General features: G+C 38.6%; 1 annotated feature.

Annotated features, from left to right (window-relative positions):
* Positions 16,783–17,338: an enhancer, noted in NCBI's record as "NANOG-H3K27ac hESC enhancer chr1:37678905-37679460 (GRCh37/hg19 assembly coordinates)". NCBI's record gives its function as "activates a minimal SCP1, AML or CMV promoter by ChIP-STARR-seq in naive H9 embryonic stem cells {active_cell/tissue: H9 hESC(naive)}" and the evidence as "EXISTENCE:reporter gene assay evidence [ECO:0000049][PMID:30033119]".

Genomic DNA, 18,167 nt, shown 5'->3' with positions numbered 1-18,167 from the left:
TTGGTCTGGGCAATGATTTTTTTTTTTTTTTTGACCCTAAAAGCACAGGCAACAAAAGCAAACATAGACAAACGGGATTGCATCAAACTGAAATCCTTATGTGCAGCAAAGGAAACAATCAGTAGAGAGGAGATACAACCTAAGGAATGATAGAATATATACGCAAATCATGTATCTGATATACATGTATCCAGATATATATATTCTAACAAAATATATAAGGAAATTATACAACTCAATAGCAAAAAAAAAAACCCTAATTTAAAAATGGGCAAAAGACTTAAATAGCTATTTCTCAAAAGAAGACATACAAATGGCCAACAGGTAATATGAAAAAAATCAACATTGCTAATCATCATGGAAATGCAAATCAAAATCACAATAAATATCACCTCACACATGTTATAATGACTATTACAAAAAAGACAATAATAAGTGTTGGAGAGTATGTAGAGAAAAGGGAACACTTGCACAATGTTGGTGGGAATGTAAATTAGTACAGCCATTATGGAAAACAGTATGGAGGTTCCTAAAAAATTAAAAAATAGAACTACAGCAATCCCACTTCTGGGTATCTACCCAAAGGAAATGGAATGAGTATATCAAAGAGATATCTGCATTTCCATGTTCACTGTAGCATTATTCACAGTAGCCAAGATATAAAAATAACCTAAATGTCCATCAATGAGTGAATGGATTAAAAATGTGGCGTGTGCATGCACGTGCATACACACACACACACAACACAACTCAGTTTTACAAAAGAAGGAAATTCTGTCATTTGTGACAACATGGCTGAACCTGGAAAAATATGCTAAGTTAAATAAGCCAGGCACAGAAGACAAATACTGTGTGATCTCACTTATATGTCAAAGCTAAAAATGTCAATCTCATAGAAGCAGAGAGTACACTGGTGGTTGCCAGGGGCTGGGGTTGGGGGATGGAGAGATATTGGTCAAAGAGTGCAAAGTTTCAGTTGGACAGGATAAAATAAGTTCTGGAGATATGTTGTACAGCATGGTGACTGATATAGTTTGGCTGTGTCCCCACCCAAATCTTATCTTGAATTGTACTCCCACAATTCCCACGTGTTGTGGGAAGGACCTGGTGGGAGATCATTTGAATCATGGGGGCGGTTCCCCCATATTGTCCTCGTGGTAGTGAATAAGTCTCATGAGATCTGATGGTTTTATCAGGGGTTTTGCTTTTGCACCTTCCTCATTTTCTCTTGCCGCATCCACATAAGAAGTGCCTTTCGCCTCCTGCCATGATTCTGAGGCCTCTCCAGCCATATGGAACTGTAAGTCCAATTAAACCCAACCTCTTTTGCTTACCAGTCTCGGGTATGTCTTTATCAGCAGCGTGAAAATGGACTAATACAGTGACTATAGTTAATGTATTGTATACTTGAAAATTGCTAAGGGAGTAGATCTTGAATGTCCTCATCACAAAAAATAAGCATATAAGGTGATGGATATGTTAACTTGCTTGATGTAATAATTTCACATGTTTATATGCATCAAAAACATCATATTGTATACCACAAATGTATACAATTTTTGTCAATTGAAAACACCTTTAAAAAAGAAAAAACCTAACACCCTTAAAAAATGCTGATCTTGACCCATTACATCAATTTTGCAAACCACCAGTGGGCTTTGGACCATTATTTGAAAAACACTGTTCTAATGTGTCAAATTACCTCCCACTGAGGGGCCTTTGCACTTGCTGTTCCTATCACATGGAATTTTCTTTCTCTAGGGAGTCTCATAGTTTTTTCCTTTTTTTCTTTCATGTTTCAGTTCAGAAATCTTTTCCTCAAAAGGTACTTCCTTGACTACCCCGTCTAAAATAACTCTATTAATCCATCTTTCTCTCTCCCTTTACCCTGCTCATCTTCTTTGCATCTTTTATTATTTGAAATTATATTGTTTATTGTTATATGTTTATTATCTATCTCTAAAGGAGATAATTTATCTACTTTGTTCATGGATGTGGCCTCAGTGCCCAGAACAGGCCTGGCAAACAGTGGGTACTTAATAAATGAGTGACAGCTTCATTTGGGTAGCTGTTGGCCATACTAGCTCTTTCAGCAGTTGGATCAGGGCATTGATTCACATCCACGGAAAACCCAGGTCTTCTGCTATTAATCAATCTGCCTGTTTGTGTATATATCTTTTCCTTTTAGTCTCATTCAACATAAGATTTTTAGTGACCTGTAAAAATACTTAAAATTCAGAATGATAGAACATTAACTTGAGAGATGAAGTTCAAAGAAAAAAAGAGGTGGAAAAATAATAAAGCCAGCATGTGTCAGTCAGGCTGGTTCTAGCTATAAGTGTTAAACAATTAGCTCATTTATTATCTTTTATTGTCTTACATAACAGGATGTCTTAGTCTGTTTTCTGTTGCTATAACTGAATACCTGGAACTGGGTAATTTATAAACAAAAGAAGTTTATTTTGGTTTATGGTTCTGGCAGCTGGAAAGTCGAAGATTGGGCAGTGGCATCTGGTGAGGGTCTTGCTAGTGGGCAGAGTCCCAAGGTGACCCAGGGCATCATATAGCAAAGGGGTTCACAAAAGAGCTAACCAGGCTTTTATAGCAGATCCATTCTCAAGATCCCTTCTGTGACAACCCATTCATAATAACTCCCGTGATAACTCATTACTCCATTAACCCGTTAGTGCATTAAAGCACACCAACTCCAGGGGGATGGCCCAGGAACCCAGGTTTCTTCTATCTCTGCTCTGTCATTTTTTTCTTTATCCTCAGGCTGTCAGCATTTTTAGGGATCATATGCCAGCATCATGATGCCTAAAGGAAGGAAAAAGACCACATTTTCTTAGGAAGGAAAAAGAAACTTCCCAGATGCCCCAAGCAGACTTTCCTTCACTAATTCTTATTGGCCAGGAATGGGCCCCTTTTCCACTCCCAAACCAATTATGGACAAGGGGAATGGACTTCCCATGGCTGGCTTAGATTAATCATGGGGGCTGAAATGAATAATGGAGCATCTACTATAATGCCTGTGACACCTGGGGCAAACTGACTTACACACCATGAGATACTCAGAAATACAGAGACCATGTGGTCTAGTACAGTTGCTAGAGGTGGGCTGCAAATTTAGCTCTGAGTTTCCCAGAATCCAAAGCAAAAAGGGGAAACCAAATCTTAAAAATGTACGGTACTCATCCATTTTTAAATAAATCAATTGTTTAGGATCATCCCAGCATATTCTGATACTGAGATCTGAAAATTTCTCCCATTGGTCTTCATCAGTAAGACACTGTGGTGCACCACTTCCAGGCCATACCTCCATGTTCAGTCTAGTAGCAGGTATCATATAGCTGTTTCTTATAATGTCCCAATGCAAGCTAAAGAGAAAATCCCAAAGCCCTAGCACCAACGCACAATTTAAAAAGTGGTTTGGCACTTTGGGAGGCCGAGGCAGGCAGATTACGAAGTTAGGAGATCAAGACCATCCTGGCCAACACGGTGAAACCCCGTCTCTACTAAAAATACAAAAATTAACAGGGCATGGTGGTGTGCGCCTGTATTCCCAGCTATTCGGGAGGCTGAGGCAGGATAATCACTTGAACCAGGGAGTTGGAGGTTGCAGTAAGCTGAGATCGTGCCACTGCATTCCAGCCTGGCGACAGAGCAAGACTCCATCTCAAAAAAAAAAAGGTGATTTGGGGTAAGAGAAGGAGATGATGGGAGAGGGGGCTGGAATGAACAGTGCAATTTCCATACTGGCTTTCTGATAAAATGCACTGAATTTTATCCAAGAGGAGAATTTAGACTAGGTAAAAGAATGGATGGATTATTCATCCTTCAGGCGGCCCATCATGAATATCATTTCTTTCAGTAAAGTTTTTGATAAAGAAGGGCAGCAGAGAGTTTGAGGTTGTGTTTTCTGGAAAAAACCTGCTGTGCAGATTTTCTCAAATATTCATATATTTTGACAGTTGGCAGAGTAGATGAGACATTTTTTAAATAAAAATTGATGTTCTCAACCAGAACATGTACCTGAATGGATGTCACAGTTGTGGGTGCTGTTACACTCAGCTTCCCCATGCTCATGAAATTGATATTTTAAACCCATATTCAAGGCTTTATACCTATCTAGGGTGACCAAGTTCCAGACATTTCATTTTTAGTTGTGTCCTTTTTATTCTTAAATGTGACCCATTTTGTAAATAAATTATATGGCCACTCTGTACTCATCTCGACTGGAGTTCATCTTTTTGGCCATCCAACCCAGCAGAACCTTGAAATCTTGAGTCTGTTGCAAAATGCGTTTGCTCTTCCACCCACAAACTGATCATATACTGTGTCATCCATGTCTTATTTCAAGGGCCACATTTGAGAAGTTGGATAAGGATGTATAGAACATAGGCTGTTGGGGTGTGTGTGTGTGTGTGTGTGTGTATGAGTGCATGGGCACTGTCAGTGTGAAGTTGAGGGCATGTGCAAATTTTGTGTGTGTGTGAAGGTGAATAGCTTAGCATTTATGTGTCCCAGTTGTGTGGGTCTATGTGTTTGATGGCATGGCATTCACATTTGAGTATTTGTGCGAATCCTGCCTTTTTAGATAATCTGCAATTTTCCAAGGCCAAGTGATGTTAGAATAGCTAGCAAACTGAGGTTCAGAGGGGCTGCACAACCTAGTGAGCAGTTTGCAGCATCACTGTCATTTTAGAATGAGAAGCATCCTCAGAGAACTGTATTTCAACTTCCTCTCTGTACACATAGGGAAATCAAGGGCCAGAAAGTTTAAGTGTGTACTCAAGGTTACACAGTGGGTTAAGCAATGGAAATAAACCCCTTTGAATCCATCTCTTTAGTTTTCGACACTTATCTATCTTGCATAACTCAAATGAAGCTTGATTAATACACCCTGAATTTCAAAACTTAGGACAAAACTCTCCCTATCCTGGTATGTTGACAGTTTGTGCCCAAACTCTTGTAGACCGTTTGGGTGTGAGTACTGATCTTCTCGGTCTAATTCCCCATTCTTCTTCATCTCACCTCCCCCATGTGTATTTTTGATTTTAGCTGAAGGCGGAAAGTTCGACTAGGACTTGTCACAGCTCCTACTTGGCTAGAAGTTTCCAGGCCTGATCCTTGGTATCCCCTAGGGTCCCCTCACTTATTGAAGGAAAGCAGAACAAAGCCCAGGTAGGTAGCAGTGTAAATGGCTAACTGGCTGTGGGCACCCTCTCCTAACCTGACAGTCTTTCCCCAAGCCCCAGATTCCCTGCTAGGCAGCTACTGTGCCTTTGAAGCTGGAGCCTGTGTTACTGCTCATTTGAAAAATGATAAATCTTAAAGCAATAAAATTTACACTTCGTCCTGGCTGCTCTAGCCATGGCTTCAACAACCTTTCAGCTTGCTTGCAAGTCACCTTTTTAAGGGGAGCTTCCATTTTCTCCAAGCTCAGTGGAACATTGCCTCTAAAACACATTTGCAAGGAATATATTGTGGGTTGGAAGGAAATGCAAAGCAATACTCAGGTAAAATAACCCTCAGGTCAAAGAGGTAATCACAACGGAAATAAGAAAATATTTTGAACTGAACAAAAATGAAAATAGGAACACATCAAAAACTTGTGGGATGCAGCTAAAACAGTCCTCAGCGCTAGCGTTCTTAACCTCAGGTAAGAATTCAGAGATCTTGTGAACTTGGCTGGGAAAAAGATACAAATCTGTTTTAAGTAACCTGGAGCAGAAATTTAGCATTTCCTTCAATTAGAAATGTAAGTAGCAGACCACAATTGTATTAGTGGTATGGGTTACTTTGTTGCCAATAGATAACACATATATTGAATCGACACTGCCCATCAATTTCAAGATTGAGGCAATTTATTTTCTCTGCCTTGGTCTCACAATGTGCACTCAGGCTCGCATAGATACAGGGGCAGAAATGACAACAGTTTATGTTTTTTTATTGCTTTATGAGCTATGTCAGCATAAGCTCCAAGGAAAGATGCCCAGAATTTTGCCAAAGAGGTGGCATGGGCAAGATTTTCAGGTTACCATTACAAGGAAACATCTGCAAGTGTATCTTGTGAAGAGGCCAATTCACTAGACATATACAGCAGTCTGAAAAGGTCTCAGATACACTATCAGTCTTATTTATTTTTCCAAAAACCTTTTAAAATATTGAAATATAGATTTGCAGGATGTTGCAAAGATAAAAGAGAGAGGTCTAGAGGACCCTTCACCCAGTTTCTCCCATTGGTTGCATCTTATGTAACTATGGTATAATATCAAAACCAGGATATAGCCATCGATCTATTAATATATACAGTTTTATGTATTTACTTTATCACAAATATAGCTCTGTGTAACCACCACCACCATCAAGATACATAACTATTCCATCACTACAAAAGTCTCCTTCATGCTACTCCTTTATGATTACTCCCCTGAACCCAGCCCATGACCCTTCCTAACCTCTGGCAACCACGGATCCATTCTCTGTCTTTATAATTTTGTTTTTGCAAGAATACCATACAAGTGGAATCATCCATTCTGAGACTTTTGAGATTAGCGTCTTTTTTCATTCAGATAGTGTCCTTGAGATCCATCCAAGTTGTACTGTGTATTAATATTTAGTTCCTTTTTATTGCTGCATGGGATTTCAAGGTATGAGTGTACTAACTTGACCATTCACTGATTGTAGAACATTTCAGTTGTTTCTGATTTTTGACTATGAACAATTGTGTACATGTTTTTGTGTGAATATGCTTCATTTCTCTGGGATAAATGCCCAGTAGTATGAATGCTGAATTGTATGGTTTAAATGTACGTTTAGTTTTTAAAGAATCTTCCAAACCATTTTCCAGAGTACTGTACCATCTTACATCCCCATCAGCAATGTATGACAAGTCAGATTTATCTGCATCTTCAGCATTTGGCATTGTCACTCTTTTAATTTTAACTGTCCTATTAGATGTGTAGTGATATTTCCTTCTGGTTTAATTTGCATTCCCCAATGGCTTGTGATGTTGAAGTTTCATGTGCTTATTTGTTACCTTATGGTCTCTTGGGTGAAATGTCTCCTCATATTTTTTTTTAAATCTATTTTCTGCTTGGCTTGTTTGTTATACTGTTGAGTTTTTTAAACATTATGGTAAATGACACATTACATAAAATTTACCATCTTAATCAGTTTTAAATGTATAATTCATTAGTGTTAAGTATATTCACATTGTTGTGCAACCAATCTCCAGAATTTTTTTATCTTGCAAAACGGAAACTCCATACCCATCAAGCCAGGGGTTCCCAACCCCTAGGCCATGGACCAGTACCAGTCTGTAAGAACTGGGGCTGCACAGCAGGAGGTGAGCAGCGGGTGAGCAAGGATTACCGCCAGAGTTCTGCCTCCTGTCAGATCAGGGGCAGCATTAGATTCTCATAGGAGTGTGAACCTTATTGCAAACTGTGCACGTGAGGGATATAGGTTATGTGCTCCTTAAATTATGAGAATCTAATGCCTGATGATCTGAGGTGCAACAGTTTCATGGCAAAACCATGCCCCTGCCCAGGTCCTTGGAAAAATTGTCTTACATGAAACTGGTCCCTGGTGCCAAGAATGTTGGGGACTGCTGCATTAAACAACCATTACCCATTTTTCCCTACCCTTGTCCCTGATAACCACCACTCTACTATTTGTTTCTATGAATTTGACTACTCTAGATACTTCATATAAGTAGAATCATACAGTATTTTTCTTTTTGTGACTGGATTATTTCACTTAGCATAATGTCCTTAAGGTTCATCCATGTTGTGTTATGTGGTATGTGTCAGAATTTCCTTCTTTTTTAAGGCTGAAGAATATTCCACTGTGTGTGTATTATACATACTGAGTGTGTATAATATGTTTTATCCATTCATCCGTTGATGAACACGTGGGTTCCTTCCACCTCTTGGCTATTTTGAATAATGTTGCCATAACATGCATGGGTTTACAAATATTTGTTCAAGATTCTGCTTTCAGTTTTTTTTGGGATATATACCCAGAAGTAGAATTTCTGCATCATCTGGTAATTCTATTTTTATTTTTTTGATGCTATGTATGTTTGCTCCATACTGTTTTCCATAGAGGCTGCACCACATTACATCACCACTAATAATATATAAGGGCTCCAGTTTCTCTACGTCCTTGACAACACTTATTTTCTGTTTTTTGTTTGTTTGTCTGTTGGTTGTTTGGTTTGTTTAAATAGTAGCTATCCTAATGAGTATGAGGTGATACACTGTTGAGTTTTGAGAGTTTTAAAATATATCCTGGATACTAGTCCTTTATCAGGTAGTTTGAAAATAGTTTCTCTCAGTCTGTAGCTTGCCTTTTTATCCTGTAAATATGGTCATTTTCAGAGAAAATTTCATATTTTTGATAAAGTTCAATTTATTACTTTTTTCCTGTATAGATTGTGCTTTTGGTGTTATATTAAACTTGATGAGTTCTTCATCAAGCCCTAGGTCCAGAAGATTTTCTCATGTTTTCTTCTAAAAGTGTTTATAGTTTTATGTTTTACATTTAAGTCTAGGATGTATTTGAGTCAATTTTTTTACGTAAGGTTTAGGTCAAGTTTCCTTTTTTAAGCCTATGAATATCCTATTACTCCAACATCATTTGTTGAAAATAATATTGTATTTATTTATTTAGCCTGTTAATATGGTGAATTACGTTGATTGATTTGCAAATATTGAATCAGTCCTACATCCTGAAATAAATTCCATTTGATTGTGATATATGATTCCTTTTATATATTGCATCACATATTTTGCAGTTTTTTTGTTTGGTGCATATACGTTCAGAATTGCTATGTCTTCTTGGTGGGTTGATCCTTTTATCATTATATCATTTCTATTCCCATTTTTGGTAATTTTCTTTGCTCTGATTGTGTTTTATCTGATATTTGTGTAGCCATTCCTTTCCTTTGATTAATGTTTGCATGATATCTCTTTTTCCATCTTTTCACTTTCAACTTGCCTATATTGTTATTGTTGAAGTGAGTTCCTCATAGACATTACATAGTTGGGTCACTAAAAAAAATGCATTTTGCCAGTCTCCATCCATTTTGCCAATCTCCTTCTCTTACTTGGTGTATTTAGATCACTTACATTTAATGTAATTATTAATATGTTAGGGCTTAAGTCTGCCATTTTAGTTTTGTGTTCTTTTCGTTTTGTTTTCTTTTTCTTACCTTTCTGTAGTTTACTTGAACATTTTTAATAATTCATTTTTTTTTTTTTTAGATGGAGTCTCGCTCTGTTGCCAGGCTGGAGTGCAGTCGCATGATCTCGGCTCACTGCAACCTCCACCTCCTGGGATCGAGCGATTCTCCTGCCTCAGTCTCCCGAGTAGCTGGGACTACAGGCACGGGCCACCATGCCCAGCTAATTTTTGTATTTTTAGTAGAGATGGGGTTTCGCCATGTTGGCCATGGTCTTGATCTCCTGACTTTGTGATCTGCCCGCCTCAGCCTCCCAAAGTGCTGGGATTACAGGTGTGAGCCACCGTGCCCGGTCAATAATTCATTTTGAATTATTGTAGTATTTTGAGTATATCTCCTTGTGTAGGTTTTTTAAAAAGTGGTTGTTCTAGGTATTACATTATACATACATAACATCACAATCTATTGGTACCAACATTTGTCAATTTGAGCAGTAAGAAACCTTATCTCCCTTCATATTCCTTTATCTTCCACAGTTTATAATTTGTAATATAATTGTCTTAAATATTTCCTGTACATACAGTGAGAACCACATCAGAGAGGGTTATAATTCTTCCTTCAACACCAAACATAATTTAGAAAACTCAAGAGGAGAAAGAAAGTCTATTTGGTTTGCCCATATTTTTATTCTTTTCATTGTTCTTTCTGCTTTCCTGATATCCCAAGATTCCTTATTGCACAATTTCCTTTCTACATTTCCTTATTATTCTATCTTCAAGTTTAAGTTCATTTAACAATTCTTTTAGGGTAGGCCAATTGGCTGTCGATTGGCTACAATTTGTCTTAGTTTTTAAAATCTGAGAATATCTTGATTTCCTCTTTCTCTTTTTTTTTTCTGTGACAGGGTCTGGCTCTGTGGCTCAGGCTGGAGTGCAGTGGTGTGATCTCAGTTCACTGCAACCTCTGCCTCCTGGGCTTAAGCCATCCTCCCACCTCAGCCTCCTGAGTAGCTGGGACTACAGGCATATGCCACTACACCTGGCTAATTTTTGTAATTTTTGTAGGGACAATGGCCATGTTGCCCAGGCTGGTATCAAACTCCTGAGCTCAAGTGATCTGCCCACTGCAGCCTACCAAAGTGTTGGGATTACAGGCGTGAGCCACCATGCCCGGCCTCCTCTTTATTCCTGATGAATGTTTTTGGTGGATATAGATTTCTTGTTTGACAGCTGTTTTCTTTCAGCACTTGAAAAATATTGTGCCACTTTCTTCTGGCATTCATGGTTTCTGATGAGAAATCACTATCATTTGAATTGTTTTACTCCTGCAGGTAAGGTATCTCTCTGCTTAAAGTATTTTCTTTGCCTTTACTTTATGAAATTTTGACTATAATTTGTTTTGGTGTGGGTTTCTTTGGGTTTATCCCATTTGGGATTCACTGGGTTTCTTAAATTCATAATTTTGTGTCTTTTGCAAAATTCAAGATATTTTCAGCCATTACTTGTTTGAATACTTTTTCAGCCCATTCTCTTTTTCCTCTCTTTCTATGACTCTGATGGCATGAATGTTAGATCTCTTATTAAAATTCCACACTCTCCTGAGATCCTGTTCATTTTTTTTCCAGTCAATTTTCTCTCTGGTGTTTAGATCTAGTATTTTCTATTGTTCAGCAAGTTCACTGGCTCTTTTATCTGTGTTCTCCTTTGTTCTATTGATATAGTCCTTTGAGTTTTAAATTTTTGGTTATCATATTTTTTAGTTTTAAAATTTCCATTTAGTTCTTCTTCACATCTTCTATTTTGTCAATTTTTTGGCAGAATTTGTTTCAAATGTGTTCATAATTGTTTGACAAAGCATTTTTATGATGGTTGCTTTAAAATCCTTGTCAGATAATTCTAACATCTAATGTCAACTCAGTGCTGGCATCTGTTGATGTTTTTTTCTCATTCAAGTTGAAATTTCCCTGGTTCTTGGTATGGTGAGTGATTTTAGACTGAAACCTGGACATTTTAGGTATACTGTTACAAGACTCTGTATTTTCTTTTCCTTTTATTTTATTTTTCTTCTTTTTTCTGAGGCAGAGTCTCACTCTGTCACCCAGGCTGGAGTGCAATGGCACAATCTTGGCTCACTGCAACTTCTGCCTCCTGGGTTTAAGTGATTCTCCTGCCTCAGCCTCCCAAGTAGCTGGGAGTACAGGTGCCTTCCACCATGCCTGGCTAATTTTGGTATTTTTAGTAGAGATGGGGTTTCACCATGCTGGCCAGGCTGGTCTCAAACTCTTGACCTCAAGTCAAGTGGTCCATCCACCTTGGCCTCCCAAGTGCTGGGGTTACAGGTGTGAGCCACCACACCCAACCTGTATCTTATTTCAGTCAACTGTTTTAATAAGCTTCTTCTGGCATTGTTCTGGTGGAGAAAAGAGAATGGCCTATCATTCCTGTAAGGTGGGAATGAAAGTCCAGTTTCCCATCATTCTCAGCAAACTATCGCAAGGACAAAAAACCAAACACTGCGTGTTCTCACTCATAGGTGGGAATTGAACAATGAGAACACTTGGACACAGGAAGGGGAACATCACACACTGGGGCCTGTTGTGGGGTGGGGGGAGGGGGAGGGATAGCATTAGGAGATATATCCAATGTAAATGACGAGTTAATGGGTGCAGCACACCAACATGGCACATGTATACATATGTAACAAACCTGCACGTTGTGCACATGTACCCTAGAACTTAAAGTATAATAAAATATATATATATATAAATAAAATTAAAAAAAAAAGAAAGTCTAGTTTCCTTATTCAGCCGTAACTGACATTGTAGTGGGGCAAGAACTGCTTGTTACTGCTCTGTTGGAGTAGGAGTTCAGGTTCTACATTAGGCCTCTACTGATACCATCTGGGCGGGAAGAGGGAGAAATACTTTGTTTCCAGATGGCCTCCACTAACATAACAAGGGTAATGGTAGTGGAGTGGCCTCATTAACTGGGTGGTGGTGAAAATCCTGGCTCTCCACTAGGCCTCCTCTGATACCACTTAAGTGGGAAGTGGGAGGAGCACCTTGATACCACTGGGCAGGGGTGGACGTCCAGGCTCCCCATGTTATCTCTACTGACACCACACAGAGAAGTCTTATTAACAGTTGGCAGAGATAGAAGTCCCAGATCTCTACTTGGCCTTTTCTGACACCACACTAGTGGGGGATAGGACATCTCATTGTAGTCTGGTGAAAATGGAAGTCTAGGCTCCCCACTCAGTCTTTGCTGGTAGGGGTGGGAGTGGGACCACAGTTTTTCTGTGATATGTGACTGGAAGAGAGAGAAGTTATTTTCTAGAGTTTTCTATTTTGCTAAGCTGCTCCTTTGTCTAGAGGGTGTGGGCTTTGACTTAGAGATTTTTTTTTTTTTCTGTCTACATTCATTGACATTTCCAGGTTGTTGGCTTCTCCAGCGCCCAGTGGGACATATGAGGCAAAGAGAAAATTCAAAGAGCTCCCTGCTGAGTCATTCCTTGGGTCCTGAAGTCCCCAGCCAGTTTGTCTTCTTCTCACCACCTTTCAGAGTCTTATGTTTGTTTTATAAGTAATTTTCAGGGTTTGTAGCTATACTTAGCAGGAAGACTAGTGTAAAGCATACCTACTGTATCTTTCTGGAAGCAGAAGTCCAGTCTTATGTACTAAGACAATGGAAGAAGAAGAACAACAACAAAATCAAGCTTTTTGCAGATATTGGGGCACTTTGATTATTTTGTCTGAAGGCAATGTCAGCAAATTGAAGTGTCAGTTTGACTGAACTCTTGGGCATCACCATAATTAATATCAGGCCTTGGTGTGGTTATTAATAATATACCTCAACTGTTTTACAGATTTTGATTGAGTGTATTCAACCTTGAAAGAAGAAACTTGCTAAATAAGCTGGTTTTGTGAGTCACTTCATCATTAAGGTGAACAATAAATTTATTCAGCTCATTGATGTTTTTACACTTAGTTTTGATGTCTCAAAACCACTGGCTAACATCTCTCCTTGCAAAACCAGTGTATATTAGTGAGACAGAACCAGCTTTTCAAGGCACTTTGCATAGGATAGCAATTCAAAACACATCTTATTACAAAATTTACCCACTTTAGTTCCCTATTGAAAACACTAACAAAATCAGGAGGCAGACACTTTCAGGTGAAGCATTCTAGGGTAAGAGAGGCAATGATTCCAGCTGTATCCAATGTGTGCCCAAGGCCAGCTACTGCCACTCCTGCAGTTGTGCCTGTCAGAATTCTAGCTCCATCTGCTCACTTTCTCCAATTGATACCATGGTTTTCCCTGGAACTCATATTATCTTGTTGAAATTTCCTTAACCAGTTATTTTACTATCAAGAAATTTGCATTTAATGTCTTATAGGCATCATCATTAAACATAGATCCATAAACATAGATCCATAAAATGCCCTCCACGTCAACATCTGTTCAGTCACATGACTGTAAGGTAAAGAACCCACTTAACCTAGGTCTCCCAACTGGTTGCTCAAATATGCCTCTCAAACACATTAAAATGCATTATTTTATGGTTCAGCCTGGAAGAGCAAGTTTTCTAGCGTGGCTGCTTCTTTTTGCTCCAAAACATCCTGCCATATCTACACCCCGGTTCCTCATCTTCTCTTCCCTGACTTGGAAGGGCTTTTCTTTCCAAGGTGATTTTTTGAAAAATTGTGATAAAATATACATAACATAAAATTTATCATTTTGACCATTTCTAAGTGTACAGTTTAGTGGCATTAAGTACATTCACATTGTTATGGAACTATCACCACCATCCCTTTCCAAAATTTTTTCATCTTTGCTAACTGAAACTTTATGCTCATTAAACAATTCTCCATTCCTCCTTCCCCTCCAGCCCCTGGTAACCACCACTCTACTTTCTGTTTCTCTGAATTTGACTGCTGTGGGTACTGCCTATGAGTGGAATTATACAGTATTTGTACTTTTGTGACTGGCTTACATAACTTAGCATAATGCCCCCAAAGTTTATTGATGTTATAACATGTGTCAAAATTTCCTTATTTTTAAATTGAAGTTCCTTATTAAAATTTTAAAACATTTTAAATTGTTTTTAATTGAAAAATAATTTTGTGTATTTATTGGGTTACAATGTGATTTTTATTTTTTTGGAGACTGAGTATCAAGCTTTCACTATGTTGCCCAGGCTGGTAGTGAACTCCTGGGCTCAAACGATCCTCTCATCTTAGCCTCCTGAGTAGCTGGGATTACAGTGGGCACCACCATGCCTGGCTACAGTGTGATGTTTTGATCTATGTATACATTATAGAGAGATCCAATCAAGCTAATTAACATATCCATCGCCTTATCAACTTATTTCTTTTTGTGCTGAGGACATTAGAAATCTATTATTTTTTGCAATTTTGAAATATATGATACATTTATTAACTGTGATCACCATGCAGTACAATAGATTACTAAAATTTATTCCTCTTTCTAACTGAAACTTTGTACCATTTGATCAACATCTTTCCTTTCCCCATCCCTCCCACCCTCCGACAGCCTCTGGTAACAACCTTTTAAACTCTCTGCTTTTATTAGATCAACTTTTTAAGATTCCACCTATAGGTGAAATCATACAGTATTTTTCTTCTTTGCCTGGCTTATTTCATTTAGTATAATGTCCTCCAGGTCCATTCATGTAGTCATGAATGACACAATTTTCTTCTTTTTAAAGGCTGTGTAGTATTCCATTGGGTATATATATACACCACATATTCTTTATCCATTTATCTGTTTATGGACCCTTAAGTTGCTGCCCTAGCTTGGCTATCCTGAATAATGCTGAAATAAACATGAAAGTGCAGACATCTCTTCAACATACTGATTTCAATTTCTTTGGACATATACTCAGAAGTTGGATTGCTGGATCATATGGTAATTCTATTTTTAGTTTTTTAAGGAACCTCCATACCATTTCCCCAAGTTGCTGTACTAATTTATATTCCCACCAATAGTGTGCAAGGGTTCTCTTTTCTCCATATTCTCTCCAAAACTTGTTGTCATTCATCTTTTTCATAATTGCCATTCTAATAGCTGTAAGATGATATCTCATTGTAGTTTTAATTTGCATTTTTGTGATGATTAGAGATGTTGGTATTTTTCATATGTCTGTTGGCCATTCATACGTCTTCTTTTGAGAAGTGTCTGTTCTTATCCTTTGCCCATTTTAAAATCAGGTTATTTGTTTTCTTACTATGGAGTTGTTTGAATTTCTTATATATTTTGGATATTAGCCGCTTATCAGATGTGTGGTTTGCAAATATTTTCTCCCAATTCATGGGTTGTCTCTTCACTCTGTAAATTGTTTCCCTTGCTGTGCAGAAGCTTTTTAGTTTGATGCAATCCCATTTCTCTATTTTTGCTTTTGTTGCCTAAGCTTTTGGAATCCTGTCCAAGACATCATTGCCTGGACAAATGTCATGAAGTTTTTCCGCTATGTTTTCTTTTAGTAGTCTTACAGTTTCAGGTCTTACTTTTAAGTCTTTAATCCATTTTTTTTTTTTTTTTTTTTTTTTAGATAAAGTCTTGCTCTGTCACCCAGGCTGTAGTGCAGTGGGACGATCTCAGCTCACTGCAACCTCTGCCTCCAGGGTTTAAACAATTCTCCTGCCTCAGCCTCTCCAGTAGCTGGGATTACAGGAAACTGTCACCATGCCCAGCTAATTTTTGTATAATTCATTTTGAATTGATTCTTTTTTTTTTTTTTTTTTGAGCAATAAAGCTTTTTAATCACCTGGGTGCAGGCGGGCTGAGTCCAAAAAGAGTCAGCAAAGGGAGATAGGGGTAGGGCCATTTTATAGGAGTTGGGTAGGTAGTGGAAAATTACAGTCAAAGGGGTTGTTCTCCGGCAGGCAGGGGCGGGGGTCACGAGGTGCTCAGTGGGGGAGTGTCTGAGCCAGGAGAAGGAATTTCACAAGGTAATGTCATCAGTTAAGGCAGGAACTGGCCATTTTCACTTCTTTTGTGATTCTTCACTTGCTTCAGGCCATCTGCATGTATACATACAGGCTTGGGCTCAAAGGCCTGACAGGAACCTTTAAGAACATTTAGAAACTCTACTCCAAAAGTCTGTTTAAAAGTTGGTCGTCTGGAACTGGTTAGATTCTTAGCCCACAACAGCAAAGTCTTTAACCCATAAATCTGCAATATTTACAATATTATTTTAAGTACAGTATCTAACCAGGACCACATTGTTTATGCTCCAAGACAATGCCTCTCATCTTGTTTGCACGTCTCTGTTACTCCCAGGGCTGAATTCACTTTCTTTTATTTTAGTCATATGTATTTCCTTTAGATTCCTATTAATACTTCCATTTAAACACTTGACCACAGCATATGACAAAATTTTGTTTTCACATCTTCCTCTCACTTCTAGATGATGAACCCTCTAAGAGCAGGGTTTTCTTTTATTATTATTATTATACTTTAAGTTTTAGGGTACATGTGCACAATGTGCAGGTTAGTTACATATGTATACATGTGCCATGCTGGTGTGCTGCACCCATCAACTCGTCATTTAGCATTAGGTATATCTCCTAATGCTATCTCTCCCCTGTCCCCCCACCAGACCCCAGAGTGTGATTGTCAGGCCTCTGAGCCCAAGCCAAGCCATCACATCCCCTGTGACTTGTACATATACGCCCAGATGGCCTGAAGTAACTGAAGAATCACAAAAGAAGTGAAAAGGCCCTGCCCCACCTTAACTGATGACATTCCACCATTGTGATTTGTTCCTGCCCCACCTTAACTGAGTGATTAACCCTGTGAATTTCCTTCTGGCTCAGAAGCTCCCCCACTGAGCATCTTGTGACCCCCGCCCCTGCCCACCAGAGAACAACCCCCTTTGACTGTAATTTTCCATTACCTTCCCTAATCCTATAAAACAGCCCCACCCCTATCTCCCTTTGCTGACTCTTTTCAGACTCAGCCCACCTGCACCCAGGTGAAATAAATAGCCATGTTGCTCACACAAAGCCTGTTTGGTGGTCTTTTCACACGGACGCACATGAAAGTGATGTTCCCCTTCCTGTGTCCATGTGTTCTCATTGTTCAATTCCCATCTATGAGTGAGAACATGTGATGTTTGGCTTTTTGTCCTTGAGATAATTTACTGAGAATGATGATTTCCAATTTCATTCATGTCCCTACAAAGGACATGAACTCATCATTTTTTATGGCTGCATAGTATTCCATGGTGTATATGTGCCATATTTTCTTAATCCAGTCTATCATTGTTGGACATTTGGGTTGGTTCCAAGTCTTTGCTATTGTCAATAGTGCCGCAATAAACATACGTGTGCATGTGTCTTTATAGCAGCATGATTTATAGTCCTTTGGATATATACCAAGTAATGGGATGGCTGGGTCAAATGGTATTTCTAGTTCTAGATCCCTGAGGAATTGCCACACTGACTTCCACAATGGTTGAACTAGTTTACAGTCCCACCAACAGTGTAAAAGTGTTCCTATTTCTCCACATCCTCTCCAGCACCTGTTGTTTCCTGACTTTTTAATGATTGCTATTCTAACTGGTGTGAGATGGTATCTCATTGTGGTTTTGATTTGCATTTCTCTGATGGCCAGTGATGATGAGCATTTTTTCATGTGTCTTTTGGCTGCATAGATGTCTTCTTTTGAGAAGTGTCTGTTCATATCCTTCACCCACTTTTTGATGGGGTTGTTTGTTTTTTTTCTTGTAAATTTGTTTGAGTTCATTGTAGATTCTGGATATTAGCCCTTTGTCAGATGAGTAGGTTGCGAAAATTTTCTCCCATTTTGTAGGTTGCCTGTTCACTTTGATGGTAGTTTCTTTTGCTGTGCAGAAGCTCTTTAGTTTAATTAGATCCCATTTGTCAATTTTGGCTTTTGTTGACATTGCTTTTGATGTTTTAGACATGAAGTCCTTGCCCATGCCTATGTCCTGA

This window comes from Homo sapiens, chromosome 1 (assembly GCF_000001405.40).
Source record: "Homo sapiens chromosome 1, GRCh38.p14 Primary Assembly".
Classification (NCBI taxonomy): Eukaryota; Metazoa; Chordata; class Mammalia; order Primates; family Hominidae; genus Homo; species Homo sapiens.
Note: the sequence above shows the minus strand (reverse complement) of the source record. Positions and strands in the feature narration are given on the sequence as shown.